We start from the raw sequence: 16,206 nt of genomic DNA, 5'->3' as shown, positions 1-16,206 counted from the left end.
CACCACATGTTGCCTCAAGTGGACAGCTTTGGATGGTTTCTCCAGGGCTTGACCGTGTTCTAGTTGAGACTCACCTGCCATCAAAGAGGCAGCTGCTGATGAGCCCTCAGCCTCGGCATTGCTGGGCCATGCATGCAGCTTTGGGGTGTGGGGCAGGTCAGGGTGGAAGGGGGACACAGCCTGAGCCTGGTGGCAGATGTGGCTTCTCCTCCCGGCAGGGGAGTGAGGAGGTCCTCCTGCTTCACTCTCTCTGCCGCCTTGATTCTCATATTCAGCAAAGTCCCCAGGCAGGGGGAGTAACAGACATTTCTCAAGGCCTCCTGGCTGTCTCCTTTTCCCCTGAGTTAGTGATTCTCTTTTTGTTTTCCTTTAGGTGTCATCTGTACGGTTGATGGAGAGGTCGATTCACAGCGCAAGATACATTTTTGTAGAAAACCTGTATAGAAGGTACTGTAGTTTGAATAGTTGATAATTTATTAAACCACTAATTTTTCAAAATGAAATAGAAACTTGTTTATTCGATTGACAGATATGGAGTACCCGCTGTTGTATCAGTTATCCATTGCCATAGCAATGCGGTGTAACAAACAGCCACGAATCCTCATGGCAGACAGCTATCTGCATTCATTGCCCAGTCAGCCAGGGTGGTCACCAGGCAGCTCTGCTTACCTTGGCTAGGCTCAATGAGATGTCTGGGGATCAGCCGATGTAGGATAGCCTAAGCAAGGGTGACTGGAGGTGGCTCATCTCTTTTCCTCTTGCCTGTCACTCTCCTTCTGGGACCAGCAAACCAGCCCAGGTGTCCACTTCTCACGGTGACAAAGGGTAGAAGCAACAGCAGAGATGCAAGGACATATTTTTCAGGCCTCTGCTCCAAGTTTGCTAGCATTCCATTGGCCAAAGCAGATCACATGGTCACATGAGCCCAGGGTGGAAAGGTGGGAGGGTCCAGTGAGTTACACAGCATGGTACAAGGCTAAAGGGAAGGGTGGAGAGTTGGGCGAGTCAGACGCACAGTGTGCGTCGCATTTGTTGTGTTTTTCACTAAAAGCTTCCCTCATGAGAGCAGACTCTGTGATGTATACCTAGTTAGGGGCTTCTGGTGGCCTGTCAGTGCCAAGGGCTCAGGCATGGGGCCCTCCATCCCTGTGCTCAGAGACTGCCGATTTCTAGGGGTCTTGGAAATGGGTTGCAGACCCCACCTGTCCCTGCCGCGAGCTTGGGATACTGCTGTCCTTCCCTCGCAGAGCTGTTCGGATGTCAACGCTGGAGGCCCTTCCTCCCACTCTCATCTGCAGCTGTCTTCCTAAATGCCACCCTGTCTCCCAGCCCTCCCCGACCACGCTGTCTAGATAGGGCAAGCTCCTTGTTAGTCTTTGTTTCGTTTTTGGTTTTGGTTTTTGTTTTTTGAGGCAGGGTCTGGCTCTATCACCCAAGCTGGAGTACGGGGGCACGATCTCAGCTCACTGCAACCTCCGTCTCTCAGGCTCAAGCCATCGTCCTGCCTCAGCCTCCCGAGTAGCTGGGACTACAGGCACACACCACCACACCTGGCTATTTTTTTTGTATTTTTAGTAGAGGCAGGATTTCGTCATATTGCCCAGGTTGGTCTTGAACTCCTGGGCTCAAGTGATCCTCCTGCCTTGGCCTCCCAAAGTGCTGGGATTATAGGTGTGAGCCACTGTGCCTGGTCCCCTTGTTATTCTTAAGGACTACTTTCTGTTAGTTTTCTTTGTAGTATTTAAGGCAATCATATGAAATTGTTTAACCAATTATGACCTACAAAAATGGCAGTTTTGTGTGGTTCAACTTAGTATGTGTCTAATTGTTTATTGCCACCCACCCCCCCGGACCATAAGCTCCTAAGGGCAGGCACCAAGTTTGTTGTCCTTGCCTAGGGTGGACCCAGCACAGAGCAGGCTCCTCGTTGATACCTGTTAGCTATTGTTGGATGAGGGGACCTGTGGCTGTGCTTTGGTCTCCAGCCCAACTTGTTCCCCAGGCTCTGGTCCCCCACTGTTTTGCACCTTTCATTTGAGGGGCCACTAAAAAGGCTTCTCCTAGGAGCCCTGAGCTGCCATGGATCATGCCTTTGAGCCTGTGTCACCCCCCAAAATGAGAGCCTCTGCCCCAAATCCACCCAGAGCATCAGAGCAATGCTGTGGGCTCAGGGGCTGGCAGCCAAGGTGAGTCCTGGCCGTGGCTTTGCCCCCTGGCCTCAGACTTTTCTTGTGGGCTGCAGCTTGCCCTCTGAGCAGGTGGCATTCCTGACCTTACGGCCCCATTTTCACCTGACAACCTGGGTTTCCAGGTGTCCACTGCTAGGTTTATCCAGCCCTCTGCGGTCCTCAGCTCCTGCTCCTTAGCACCTCAGCCAGAGGGAGGACAGGCAGGACAGAGGAGAGCGAGAGCAGAAGGGAGCCTCTGTTATGTTTGTGTACTGCTCTGATTAGAACTGTAACCCGAGGCGGAGGTTGCAATGAGCCGAGATTGCGCCACTGCACTCCAGCCTGGGCAACAGAGCGAGACTCCGTCTCAAAAAAAGAACTGTAGCCTGAGGAACAGATCTTGGCAGTGGGGTGGGATTACCTATGAACCTCGCAGAGTGGGGCTGTGTCTGTCTTTTAATCACATTCAGCTTGGCCTGTTCTGTGTGGGGTCAGTGGCTCTTGTTGCTTTTTTTATTTTTGAGATGGGCTTGTGCTCTGTCACCCAGACTGTAGTGCAGTGCCATGATCATGGCTCACTGCGGCCTCGATGTCCTGGGCTCAAGAGATCCTCCTACCTCAGCCTCCTGAATAGCTGGACCTACAGCACATGTCACCACTTCTGGCTAATTTATTTCTTATTTTTTGTAGAGACAGGGTCTCCCTGTGTTGCCCAGGCTGGTCTCAAACTCCTGGGCTCAAGCGATCCTCCTGCCTCAGCTTCCCAAAGTACTGGGATTACAGGCATGAGCCTGATTACAGCTCTGCTCGGCCTCGTGGCTCTTTTTGAAGCAAGTAATCTGGAATGGAATGACCAGAGGTTAAGGGGAGAGGATAGAGTGTGGCATTTGGTGGGCCTGGGTTCTATCCTGGCTCTGAAGTTTGCTCTGTTTGTGAGCAAGACCAAGTTTCTAAATTTCTCTGAGCCCATCTCTCATCTCTGATTCCTCTTGTCCATCTCTGAAGAGCCTTTGGACCTGCCACCTCCTTCGTGTCTTAGGACCCTTTTGTGGGTCCTTGCCCACCTTGGTCTTTATTAAATTTGTGAGTTCCCCAATCCTACCCCCAAACCTGTAGGCCACCCAGCGCTAGGTAGATTTCCCCAGGAGCCATTTGTCTTTGTTTGGCCGGTCACAGTTCCTGCTGATGGCCATGGGCTTTGGTAACTCACGCCCATGGTCCTGCATCACCACATTTCTGATGCGTCAGTTCTGTATCTCCCAATCTCTGTGGTTACGGCATTGGTCTAGATGACATGGGCCTTGCCTGGAGCTGTTCTGTGGGTAGTTTAGGAAGAGAATGTAGCTTTTAATTTTTTTAGCTCTTTTCCTGTCCTGATGACTTTATATTTATGTCTCTCCCTGGCCCTCCCAGAATGCATGGCCTCTGTGGTTAGGATTTCTGTGGGACAATGAACCACAGAAGAAACTTACAGTGTCCTTTCTGTTCTTGGGATCTAATTGTTTTAAGTTCATATGGCTTTCGGGGGGCTCAGATTCCCCTGAAGACCTTGTTGGGGCCTTGAGATCCATCACTGGGATCTCTTGAAGCCAAAGGCTCTCAGTGGGCATGTGGCCTCGGGCACTCCAGAGGCTACTGGGAGCACTGTGGCTGCCTGGAGGGCCAGGCTATCTACCATGGTCTCCAGAGAGATGAGAAAAGGCGGTGTTCCTCAGACCCTTTCATCGGATTCCTCTGAAGGCAGAGGAAAGCTCCCCACAGCACTGCTTCCTCATCCTCCCAGACCCTGTGGTCCAAAGCAGCCACCTGCCAACAACCCAGAAGTTTCTTGGAGTCTCCTATTTTAACCTAGAATTCATTGGGATTTTGCATTTTCCTCCATAATATGTTCTTAAGTTTGTATCTAAAAATAATAATTTACATAACTTATCATTGAGGACAATGGATGTTCCTGTATTAAACACCATGCTTTGCATGTGGCTTGGAGTTCCCACTCCCTCAGCCACATACCCCAGAGTCCCTAAGTCCAGGAGGCAGAGAACCAAGGGGTAGCGGCATTCAAAACACCTTCCCAGGGCAAGTGATTCACTTGTGAACTGCACCTGCTTATGTGTTCCCTGGAAACGGGGGCATCTGCTCTCATGGTTAAGGAACAGGGCAGGGACCCATGGACAGGAGCTGCATTTACTGTCTGGTTGTTGACCCTATTGGGCAGATAAGGAACTGAGAAAGGATTACAAAGCCAGTGCTCCTTCCTGATCGGGCAGGAACTAACCACAGGAGGGGAAGGTGTTCCGAACCCTGCTGTGTGGGGGCAAGCAGCAAATGAGGAAGTGGCAGGAGGCATCTAGATTTCTCTCATCAAGGCCAAAGGCTTCAGGGCCCACTGGGTTCCCCAAAGCTGAGAATCCTGAGGTACTAGCCCAAGGGGGAGACTCTGCCTCTTTCCAGACAGGCTTTACCCTAAGCTTCTCCCACAACCACCTGTGCATCTTGTTTACAGGCAGATTCCACTTCAGTAGCACTGAGGTGGGGCCTGAGAGGCCACATTTCTAGCAGGTGCCCAGGTGGGACCATACTCCTACTGGTCGGGGATCACACTTTGAGGAATACGGGCCTCAGAAGAAGGTGGCAGGGCCGGGTGTAGTGGCTTATACTTGTAATCCCAGCACTTTGGGAGGCAGAAGGGGAAGGATCACTTGAAGCCAGGAGTTCGAGACCAGCCTGGGCAACAAAGTAAGACTCCCATCTCTACAAAAAATTTAAAAAATTAGCTGGGCCTGGTGGTGCACATCTGTAGTCCCAGCTACTTAGGAGGCTGAGGCAGGAGGATTACTTGAGCCCAGGAGGTCAGGGCTGCAGTGAGCTATGAGCATACCACTGCACTCCAGCCCAAGTGACACAGTGGGACTTTGTCTCAAAAAATAAAAATAAAAAAAGCTGGTAGCCAGGTGGTCCACAGGGCGCCCTCCATCCCAATGCCACGACCCTTTTCCCCTGGAGTTCTGACGGTAAGGTGGGCTTCCTTGGGGCTTCACTGGACCTTTGGGGGTCATAAGAACAAGAGCCTCGGCCTGAGGGTTGTCTTTGGGACCATGGTGAAAAGTTCTGCGCAGTGCAGGATTTCCTGTTTCCTGCACCTGGCCTGTGGTTTCTTAATTTCACATTTGTTGCTTCATATTTGGGTTGCTGGGGGCTGTGTTGTGTTATCTTTGTTTTTAAGGTTTCTGGACTTATTCCTAGGCCAAGAATCAGGCAGCCATAGGGCAAAGTAAAAAGTATTTTTAGCCAGAGCCACAGAAGGGATAAAGGGAAGGAAGACTAGAGCTTGGCCACTCTCCGGACAACTCCAGCTGCCCTCGATGGAGCGGTCATCCACAACGAAGTATTACTGAGAAAGTAGATGTGGGGTTTTTTTGTTTTTTGTTTTTTGTTTTTTTGATTTTGAGACAGAATCTTGCTCTGTTGCTCAGGCTGGATCACTCAGGCGATCTCAGCTCACTGCAACCTCTGCTTCCCAGATTCAAGCAATTCTCCTGCCTCAGCCTCCCGAGTAGCTGGGATTACAGGCGCCCACCACCACGCCTGGCTCATTTTTGTATTTTTAGTAGAGACAGGGTTTTACCATGTTGGCCAGGCCGGTCTCGAACTCCTGACCTCAAGTGATCTGCCTGCCTCAGCCTCCCAAAGTGTTGGGATTATAGGCGTGAGCCACCATGCCTGGCCAAAGTAGATGTTTTTAGAGGTTTCGGCTCCTTCAAAATGCAGATTACTGTCATTGTCACTACCTATGCAAAATGTAGCATAGAACTGACTTTGGCTGGGTCCTTTGCCCATACCTAGAATAAGGTGTCTTGGTTCCCACCTGCAGGGAGTTCAGCCAGGTACTGGGAACCACACGGTGGCATGTGGGGCGTCAGCTCCTGCCTGGGAGCTCGTGTTTCCTCATTTCCTGGGATGCTCTAGGAAAAGGCTTCCCAAAATGCCATGATGGGGAGCCCTTCACAAGGTGGGAGGGCACATTACCATTGCCCCTTCAGTGCTTGGGTTGATCTTTTTCTCCCTCTCAGAAGCTCTTGCAACCTTGGTTCAGGATCTGTGGGGGCCTAGACAGAAGGCTATATGGCAGGCTCAGGTCCCCAGAAAAGCCCACATATTGGAATCCTGCATCTCCTCGAAGTAAAATTTCTTGAAGGGTGTTCTTGCTCTTTGGGCTGTGAACAAATGAAGAGCTCGCCAGGGAAAAGACCCACCTCTTCTGGCACTGTCTACCCTGGCGAGGTTGGGGTGTGCAGAATGTAACTGCAGTTATGCCACCAGGGATTCGAGAGGGCTGTGTTAATTGCTGGAGAGGAAGATTCCAGTTACACAGTATCCTTAAAGACGGGAACTTCTTTTTCTTTTTTTTGAGACGGAGTTTTGCTGTTATTGCCCAGGCTGGAGTGCAGTGGTGCAATCTCGGCTCACTGCAGCCTCCACCTCCCGGGTTCAAGCGATTCTCCTGCCTCAGCCTCCCGAGTAGCTGGGATTAGTCATGTGCCACAACGCCCGGCTAATTTTGTATTTTTAGTATAGATGGGGTTTCTCCATGGTGGTCAGGCTAGTCTCGAACTCCCGACCTCAGGTGATCTGCCTGCCTCAGCCTGCCAAAGTGCTGGGATTACAGGCGTTAGCCATTGCGTCTGGCCAAAGACAGGAACGTGTAAGGGGCAGGCAGCTGGCTGGCATGAAAAGCTGAAGGTGGTGAGCAAGATTCATGTAGCTAAAGAGGCCACACAGGTGACTGTGTGGGCCGAGTAATGGGAAGCAAAGGTTTTACAAGATTGCCTGGTCGTCCTTTTCTAAGAACAGAAGTGAGGGCGTGGAGTGGGACCCAGCTCGGGAAGTGGCATGCTGACTCACCTGTGGCTTGTGGTTGGGGACACTGAGTAAGACCTGGTGTTTGGAACCACAGGCTGGGCCTCCTCCCCTGCTGATTGGCCCAGGGGCTTAAGTTCTTCCCAGCTCCTGTCTAGACTGAAACCTCCTGGTGTGGGTCATGCGCCTAAGAGCTGTGGCCTTCCTGGAGCTCAGGCTAGAGAGACACTGGACTTGATCCGAGTCAGCTGACAGACTGGGGTGGGCGGGTGGTGCAATGGAGAGCATTTGGGTTTGGGGGTAGGGAGAGCCAGGCTTGGACCCCTGCTCAGACAGAGTTGGCCTTCACTTCTCTGATCCTCAGGTTTCTTCTATAAACTGGGACTGAAGCCAGCCTCACAAGGTCTTGTGAAAACAAAAGGAAATAACGTATACAAGGGAGCTCTTCCATTCCATTCCGCACAGACTGGGGGGCTCTCTTGGCCTCAGGGAAGGATGCAAGAAATTGTACTGATGTAACAGCAGGATTCATGTGGATCAAGACCTTGGTTTTGCCCCCTTGGGGTCAGGGCAAGGGTGAGACCCCCATGCCCACTGTTGAGTTGTGTGCTTGGATTTGCCAAGCTTGGATTTGCTTGGTATTGCTCTCCGTGCATTCTGTAGAAATAAAGGCAGTGGCTTGTCTTGTCGGTGGTGTGGGGAGCCCCATGCTTGAGACAGACACAGGAGGAGCTGGGCAGAGTTCCTAGGAGGAAATACAGTTAGAGCAGCGCCCACTGTGCCCCATGTCCCTCGGAGTCATGGAGATCAGGCTTCTGTTTCCTCACTCAGCTCAGACACTGGTCATTCAGTCCTCCTGGATCCCCCAGCCTCTTCTGGCACATGGTTCTAGTCATGGAAGGGTTTTCAATAGGTCTGGCCTACTGACCCTGCCCATGGGAGGCCACCCGACCAAGGACCCCTTCCAAGAGCATTGGGAAGGGAGAGGCTGCCCCTCAGTCTGCACCAACCCTGTGGGGGAAGCCTTTTGTTTGGCTGTGATGGGGGTGGGAGTGGGAGGCCCCTGTGACTACCTGGAGCCGATTCCCAGGGGAGCTGTGGCAGGGGCAGAGCCACCGGAGTCTGTCAGTCCCAGAGTCCCCCACAGGTGTGACCCCCTCCCCATGTCTCCATGTGCAGACCCCCGTGTACTGTGACTGTTTTGCAGTGGTGGTTGGTTTGGTTTTAGTTAACACTGCTTCATTTGTTCTGAGCTGTGGTTCAGTTCCATGATCATATCTGTGGGCACCCTCCCAGCTCTGGGATTGGACAGAGTCTCCCTCGAGCTGTGCAGACGCATGAGGTACTCCGGTGGCTAGTCCAGCCTTGGACACTTGGGAGACTGTCCCATGGGCAGCTCAGCTTCTCCCCAGTTGCTGCTAACTGGCCCCACCCCTTTGGTGCCACCTCTTCTGTGCCCTCAAGCCATGAGTTTGCTGGAGTAGGCGAGAAGCTAATCAGCAGCTTCCTCATTGCACATCCTCATTTTCTTAGAGTCAATTTTGTTCTCAGTCTTCTTTTTCCAGAAAAGGAAAATAAGAGATAGTGGTTTGGTTTCTTGAACATCAAATATTCGGAGCTGAACTAACTGAAACCCAACTCAGGGTAGCCTGAACAATGAGGTGTCATCAACTCCCAACAGATGGCTTATTTGGTGCCTCTGGCCTGGTTTCTCTACATTTTGCTACTGTGCATCCTGTTCGTGTCCTCATGCAGTTCTCTCAGGGTGACAATGTAGTCGTGGCAGCATTGGGCTTCTCACTCGCTGGTTGGAGTAAGGGCAGGTGTCTTGCTAGTGGCTCTTCCCTAAGCGTGCGGAAGTATCTTTTCTGTAAGTCCCTGCAAACCTCCCTCACGCCTGCCTAATCCAAATTGGGCCCCTGGCTGGGGGAGGCCCTGCACTGATTGACTTAGCTTGGCTTCCTGAACGCATTGCTGGAACTAGGGGAGACGACTTCCTTTAGACCGATTGTGCCTACCCTAAAGCTTGGAAGCTTGGGGTGGGGTGAGGTTTCCCTGAAGCCCTTGGGTCTGTGGATGGACCCTGAATAAAGAATGGGCTACTTTTAAGGAGGTAAGCGGAGAGGAGGCAGGGAGGCAGCCTGTGGACACAAAGTTGTCACCTGAACTTGTAGTGCCTGAGTTTTGTTGCCTGGGAGTCCCCTCTGCAATGCTGTAGGATTTCCTTCCCACTCCTCCAGCCTCCCACGCAGCTTCTCCAGGTTTTCTGGGAGTCCTGGCCGTCCCACAGGTTGGTCTGCCCTGGCCTCTGTGCTGCAGTCTGCTCAGGCCCCGCTGCTGTTCTCCGTCCACTCTCCCGCTCCTCTGTCAAATACTCTTCTCTTCTGAGGACATGGGGGTGGTCTCAGAGACTAGGGGAGAATGTCCCTCTCCAGTTGGTGCCATGCCTTGCTGTTAGGGCCCCAAGACAGGGCTACTTGTGCCCTTGGCCTCCCAGAGTGCCTGCCTCACTCTTCCAGCCTCTTACTTCCTTCCATGCTCATCCCCTCGTGGGACTGGAGTCAGCCCCTCCCTGCCCCCTCCCCACTGAGAGCCTCCCATTGCACATGGCTCAGGTACGGCCACTCCCCCATGGCCAGTCTTGCCGAACCCAGCTCTGAGCGGGACCCACATGGAGCCACTAGTGGAATGGAGGATGTTAAAGGGAGAATTCCTCTGCTAGGCCTGTGAGGGTTGTCTGCCTGCTGATGGGCTTGTGCCCTCCAGCTGTGTCCATTCCTGCTCTCTCTTTCCTGTTCATTTCCTCCCAGGGCACAGGAAACCCACAGGAATACCAGGAATAGATGCCAGATTTCTCCTTCACCCTGGCTCGTTCTTCCTTCCCACTTTCTTGCCTTTTTTTCTTTCTTTTAAAGTTAACATTTAAAATGTGTAGTAGGCCGGGCGCAGTGGCTCATGCCTGTAATCCCAGCACTTTGGGAGGCCGAGGCGGGTGGATCATTTGAGGTCAGGAGTTCGAGACCAGCCTGGCCAACATAGTGAAACCCCGTGTCTACTAAAAATACAAAAATTAGCCAGGCATGGTGGCGCACACCTGTAGTCCCAGCTACTCAGGAGGCTGAGGCAGGAGAATCGCTTGAACCTAGGAGGCGGAGATTGCTGTGAGCTGAGATCACGCCACTGCACTCCAGCCTGGGCGACAGAGTGAAACTCTGTCTTAAAAAAATAAAAAATAGACCATCCTGGCTAACACGGTGAAACCCTGTCTCTACTAAAAATACAAAAAATTAGCCCGGCGTGGTGGCGGGTGCCTGTAGTCCCAGCTACTCGGGAGGCTGAGGCAGGAGAATGGCGTGAACCTGGGGGGCGGAGCTTGCAGTGAGCCAAGATCACACTACTGCACTCCAGCCTGGGCGACAGAGCGACACTACGTCTCAAAAAATAAAAAAAAAAAATAAATAAAAACTAAAATATGTAGTAATGCTCCCCAACTCCCACTGCTGATTTGAGAAGTAATGTGTTGTTAAAATTTGGAAAATACAAAAAGGTATAAAGAAAAAAAGAAAAGTCTCATGTAGTCCTGCAGCTTGAGAAAAGCACTTTTTACATTTTGATATTTTTCTTTCCCACCTTTCCAAGATGCATTGGTGAATACTTTTGGAAATGTGGTTGGGATATACACAGTTTTAGATCCTGTTGCTTTCACTGAACATTAGATTTGAAATTTTTCCATGCCATTAAATATTATTTTACAATATCATCCTTCAGTTACTGCGTGAATTTTCTGTTATATAGATTTACCAAGATTTAGTTTTTTATTGGTTTAAACAGTGCCGCGGTGAGCATCATGATTATTTTCACAAAATAAATTTTTTTGTTTTGTTTGAGTCAGGGGTCTCACTCTGTTGCCCAGGCTGGAGTGCAGTGGCATGATCATGACCCACTACAGCCTTAAACCCCTGGGCTCAAGTGATCCACCTGCCTCAGTTTCCCGAGTAGCTAGGACCATAGGCATGCGCCACCACCCCTAGTTAATTTTTTTGTAGTTTTTGTAGAGATGGGGGTCTTTCCATGTTGCCCAGGCAGATCTTGAACTTCTGGCCTCAAGTGATCCTCCCACCTCACCCTCCCAAAGTGCTGGGATTACAGGCATAAGCCACCACCCTGGTCCACAAAATAAATTTCTAGAAGTGAAATTGGTTTGCTGATTCATTGCCTAACCTGAGCACTGTCTCTGTTCTCAGGGTACAAGCTTTAAAGTCCCTTTCTCTGCTTAGAGTTCCAATCCCAAGTGAATTCTCCCATCACTCCGTGCCATGGCCCTTGCAGCATTGTGCCATAAGCCGCTCCCAGGCAGCAGGAGGTCGGGAATGCTTAGGGTCCTTGTCACTGCATGTCCAGTATTGCACGGATCACACTGTGCCCTGGTACCCTTGGTGACTCCTTTCATTGAGAGCCGTCTCAAGATCCTTTTGGGGGAATTGCATAGCCCAGAAGTTTTCTCTTAGGTGAATAAGCCCTTACAACTCTCATTGCAGTGGGAAGATGCCAGAAGTGGACTATGTAGTTCTGTCGGAATGGTTTGACTGGATCTTGAGGAACATGGACGTGTCTGTTGATTTGATAGGTGAGATGCACCCCTCCCACCTCCCTCTCTTGTCTCTCTCCTGGGTCCCTTGAGGATGTGCTTGGCTGGGCCCCAACCCTTGGGGGCAGTGGGTGAGGCACTTGCCCTTGGCAGTTCCTTCCCCATGGGAGTTCAGCTTTCTCCCTGAGGGCAGACAGAATTCGGGACTTCTGGTCTCTCATGGAGAAGAACCCTGGCCTTTGTTCTTTAAACTTCCCTCCCTGGCTCAGCTACTTTCAGACCCAAATCCACTGTGATCTGATGGGTTTTTCTAGTTTGCAAAGGAACAGGAAGGACAGAGCCTGAACATTCACTGAGACCTGCTGGGTGTGAGGCCTGTTTTGAGCTCTGTCTATGAACAGAATCCCATTCAGCCTCAAAACGACCCCACGGGGCCGCTGACACTGAAAGAGAATGAAAGTCGAGGCGGAGGGTCAGTGGTCAAGCCAAGAGCTGGCCCTCCCTGCTTCCTGCTCGAGCTGTGCAGACCTTCCTCCCGCCTTTGCCTGTGTGCCTGCTTTGCTTCCAAGCCATGAGCAGAGTCCTGAGAGCCACGTATTCTTTTAACCTCAGTTTACCTTCGGACCAATCCTGAGACTTGTTACCAGAGGTTAAAGAAGAGATGCAGGGAAGAGGAGAAGGTCATTCCGCTGGTAAGAGGCCTCTTTGACTTGGTTAAAGACAAACTGGGAAACCACCTCTGTCCAACCCGGCTTCCTCTCCCGGCCCCACCCCCATGAGATCATTGTGCCCTTGTTTGCAGAGAGAGAACAGGAACCAAGTGTATCAGAGGGTGAACTCTGACTTCCTGTTTGGCCAGAGACCCACGTGGATGTCCAGATCTGCTTGGCTTCCTGTGGTCGCTGACTCACAGTTTGGCAACCCTCCTGCTTGGAGGCGTTCCCCTCCCCTCCCCACCTGCCCCTCCCCATCTTGGCAGCACCAGGGCTTGTCTGTTCTGCCTCCTGAAGATTGCCTGGCCTTGTGCTCTCTGTGTCCTCCCTAGAATGCGAGTTCCAGGAGGGCAGGACCCAGCCCTCTTGTTCACTGCTGCATCCCTAGTGCTTAGCACAGTGCCCGGCACGGAGGCGGTGCTCATGCTTAGTGGTGTTTGCCCACTGGAGAGATGCCATGCCCTTCTGAGTTCTGCTCAGGCCACACTGACTCTCATGGGGACTCTGCCAGTATAGGCCCGGGCTGTGCATCTCGCCCTGGCCCTTCCCTCCTTGCATCTCCCTTCAAAATCTGGCCTCCAGGCTGCCGCCCGGCTGATATTTCCAATACTCATCACCACTCGTGCAATTTCCCAGCCCAGAACCTTTCAGTGCCTTGCTGCTGGCTAGAATGCAGTCCCCACTTTGTAATACGGCTTATGACCCGGCCCCAACTGCCTCTCTGGCGTTATCATCCTCCATTCCCTACTTTCTATGCTCTGGCTATAAGGAACTAGTTGTGGCCACACACAAACAACCACATACACAGTGGAGTTATGCAAATGTGCCTTTGCACAGTCGTTTCCTTTGTCTTTAAAGTGTTACTCAGATGTCACCTCCTCCAGGAAGCCACCCCTGACCTTCCTTCCATTGTAACCCCCCCCAAACCCACCCCCTGGCTTTCTGTGATCATGGGCCTTAGGACAGCATACTGACACTATTTGTTTATACCTTTGTTCCCCATCCCTCACTAATGTGAGCTTTTTAAGATTGGGTCTTATTCCCTCCGTGTCCTCTGCATGTGCCTTGGGGCCTGGTGCCTAGTAGTTGCTCAGTTAGTATTGAACTGAATGTCCCATGTGAGAAGCTGCCACTGGAGGGAGACAGAGGCTGGGCAAGCATTCAGTGGGGTGTCAGGGGCTCTGAGCTCAGGATAGGCTGGACTGGGGGCCCTGGGAAGCCTATCCAACTCCTGAAATCCTGCTCAGCCTTGTTTTTCCTTGGTGCCAGCACGATGCATTCCTGCCACGAGGGCCCAGGCGTCACTCTGGGCAGCTCCTTTGAAATCTTGGAGACAAGAATGCTAGGAAGATGGAATGTGGTGGAATGGGGCCAGGCTGGACCATGCTGTGATGCGCACAGCAGCTCTGTGCAGTGACCCAGATGCTCCCCAAGCCTGGGGGCCGTCCAAGCCGTGATCCAAGCCATTGTCTTAAGGGTTTGACCAGGTCCATGGGACACATCTGGCTCCTATTGCCAAGGGAGAGCTGGGCAGGAGATGTAAAGGCTGCTGCAGAGTTGACACGCGAGCCTCTGGGATGGCGAGTGGAATCTGTGTGAGGAGCCATCCCACTCTGTGCCTGGGAGAGCACGAGTATCTGCTCTGCCTGGCATGCAGGCCCCATGGCTCAGGAGGGCCTGTGCCCCTTTTCCCTTGGGCTCCGCTGCATCAGGCTTTCTGCAGTTGGTGGTCTTTATAGTCTGGAGGGTCTATAGGTTACGAGTTGTTGAGGGGGTAGAAGGGCAATGGGTGAGGGTCACAGTCCTCTTGGTGGCAAGACAGAGCGGAGGGTTTAGAGGCTGCCCAGGGCTGGGCCCCTGCCTGAAGGAACTGAGGCCCTGCTGCTGCAAAAGTGGCAGTAAATGGGAGAAGCCAGGTGTGGGTCCTGCCTTTTTTTTTTTTTTTAGTATTTATTGATCATTCTTGGGTGTTTCTCGGAGAGGGGGATTTGGCAGGGTCATAGGACAATAGTGGAGGGAAGGTCAGCAGATAAACATGTGAACAAAGGTCTCTGGTTTTCCTAGGCAGAGGGCCCTGCCGCCTTCCGCAGTGTTTGTGTCCCTGGGTACTTGAGATTAGGGAATGGTGATGACTCTTAATGAGTATGCTACCTTCAAGCATCTGTTTAACAAAGCACATCTTGCATCGCCCTTAATCCATTTAACCCTTAGTGGACACAGCACACGTTTCAGAGAGCACGGGGTTGGGGGTAAGGTTATAGACTAACAGCATCCCAAGGCAGAAGAATTTTTCTTAGTACAGAACAAAATGGAGTCTCCTATGTCTACTTCTTTCTACACAGACACAGTAACAATCTGATCTTTCTTTTCCCCACATTTCCCCCTTTTCTATTAGACAAAACCGCCATCGTCATCATGGCCCGTTCTCAATGAGCTATTGGGTACACCTCCCAGACGGGGTGGTGGCCGGGCAGAGGGGCTCCTCACTTCCCAGACTGAGCGGCCGGGCAGAGGGGTCCTCACATCCTAGACGATGGGCGGCCAGGCAGAGACACTCCTCACTTCCTAGACGGGGTGGCAGCCGGGCAGAGGCTGCAATCTCGGCACTTTGGGAGGCCAAGGCAGGCGGCTGGGAGGTGGAGGTTGTAGCGAGCCGAGATCACGCCACTGCACTCCAGCCTGGGCAACATTGAGCACTGAGTGAACCAGACTCCGTCTGCAATCCCGGCACCTCGGGAGGCCGAGGCTGGCGGATCACTCGCGGTTAGGAGCTGGAGACCAGCCCGGCCAACACAGCGAAACCCCGTCTCCACCAAAAAATACGAAAACCAGTCAGGCATGGCGGTGCGCGCCTGCAATCCCAGGCACTTGGCAGGCTGAGGCAGGAGAATCAGGCAGGGAGGTTGCAGTGAGTCGAGTTGGCGGCAGTACAGTCCAGCCTCGGCTGGGCATCAGAGGGAAACCGTGCAAAGGGGAGAGGGAGAGGGGGAGGGGGAGGGGGTCCTGCCTTTTGCCTTGGCTTTGATTCAGGCGCCAGGGGAAGGGCCAGTGTTTGTGCCCACGAACCCCCAGTGGAGCAGAGCAGGGTGGCTGGTGACACTTGTGCTGTTTTGCTCAGCCTGGCCACCGAGTGTGTGGCTGCGTCTGCCGCTGTCCACTTGAGCCAGGTTTGCTCTTGCAGGGTTCCTTTGTCTGAGTCACTGCCCATGGTCATTGACTACTTTGACCCCCTCTGCTTGACACCCTTGGTAGGTGGGGTCTGCTCTGTCCACTCCCGACAGACTGCTTGTGTTTCCCTGGCAGGAATACCTGGAAGCAATTCACCATCTCCATGAGGAGTGGCTCATCAAAGGCAGCCTTTTCCCCATGGCAGCCCCTGTTCTGGTAAGTAAGACTCCCTTACAGGGTACGAGACTGTTCTAGAAAGAGGAGTGACCCGGGGAATGTCAGCCACCTTGCAGACAGGGGAGGGCACAGTCCTTTAGAGTTTGACAACTTAGAAGAAGGAAGGTGGGAAGGCTGGTGCTCTCTCTCCCAGTGCCTGTTTCTGGGCTGAGTCTCAGAGTGAGTTGGCCAGACCCGAGGGAAGGCAGTCTGTGCCAGTGCCATCACACCTGGCAGTTGTCACTGATCCAGCATCTTCAGCGAAGACTCTAGACCCGGGTCTCAGTTTTCACCATTTGGGATAGTAGTTCCTCTGATGTGACCTTCCTCCTTCCGTGGATGACACAGAGCCTCATTTCACCTTTGTTTGGTGACTCAGGTCATCAGAAGGAATGTCATTGTCTGGTCTGGGCTGTCACACAGTGATGCCCTTAGGAATGCTGAGGTGTGTGGAACTGTCTGCCCTGCCCACTAATGTCTCTGCGTTCCTGTGTTT

At 52.4% G+C, this 16,206-nt stretch overlaps 1 protein-coding gene across 8 annotated transcripts in view, besides 4 other annotated features; it reads left to right on the top strand.

Annotated features, from left to right (window-relative positions):
• Positions 1-16,206, top strand: part of TK2 (thymidine kinase 2) — a 42,289-nt gene that overhangs the window by 20,851 nt on the left and 5,232 nt on the right. For 7 of the 8 annotated variants that reach the window (NR_073520.2, NM_001172643.1, NM_001172644.2 and 4 more), the window contains 4 exons: positions 374-447; positions 11,564-11,652; positions 12,226-12,305; positions 15,630-15,710. Coding sequence is in view for 7 of the 8 variants with exons in the window: in NM_001172643.1 (NP_001166114.1) it covers positions 374-447; positions 11,564-11,652; positions 12,226-12,305; positions 15,630-15,710 (324 nt within the window). In the remaining variant the exon portion in view is untranslated. The remainder of the gene's footprint in view (positions 1-373; positions 448-11,563; positions 11,653-12,225; positions 12,306-15,629; positions 15,711-16,206) is intronic. The other variant, NM_001271935.1, reaches the window with a different exon arrangement.
• Positions 5,080-5,209: an enhancer, noted in NCBI's record as "active region_10940". NCBI's record gives its function as "activates an Ori minimal core promoter by ATAC-STARR-seq in GM12878 lymphoblastoid cells {active_cell/tissue: GM12878}" and the evidence as "EXISTENCE:reporter gene assay evidence [ECO:0000049][PMID:35858748]".
• Positions 5,430-5,539: an enhancer, noted in NCBI's record as "active region_10939". NCBI's record gives its function as "activates an Ori minimal core promoter by ATAC-STARR-seq in GM12878 lymphoblastoid cells {active_cell/tissue: GM12878}" and the evidence as "EXISTENCE:reporter gene assay evidence [ECO:0000049][PMID:35858748]".
• Positions 6,939-7,008: an enhancer, noted in NCBI's record as "active region_10938". NCBI's record gives its function as "activates an Ori minimal core promoter by ATAC-STARR-seq in GM12878 lymphoblastoid cells {active_cell/tissue: GM12878}" and the evidence as "EXISTENCE:reporter gene assay evidence [ECO:0000049][PMID:35858748]".
• Positions 8,913-9,413: an enhancer, noted in NCBI's record as "H3K4me1 hESC enhancer chr16:66553931-66554431 (GRCh37/hg19 assembly coordinates)". NCBI's record gives its function as "activates a minimal SCP1, AML or CMV promoter by ChIP-STARR-seq in naive H9 embryonic stem cells {active_cell/tissue: H9 hESC(naive)}" and the evidence as "EXISTENCE:reporter gene assay evidence [ECO:0000049][PMID:30033119]".

This window comes from Homo sapiens, chromosome 16, assembly GCF_000001405.40.
Source record: "Homo sapiens chromosome 16, GRCh38.p14 Primary Assembly".
NCBI lineage: Eukaryota > Metazoa > Chordata > Mammalia > Primates > Hominidae > Homo > Homo sapiens.
The sequence above is the reverse complement of the archived record's forward strand: the minus strand, read 5'-3'. Positions and strand labels throughout refer to the sequence as shown.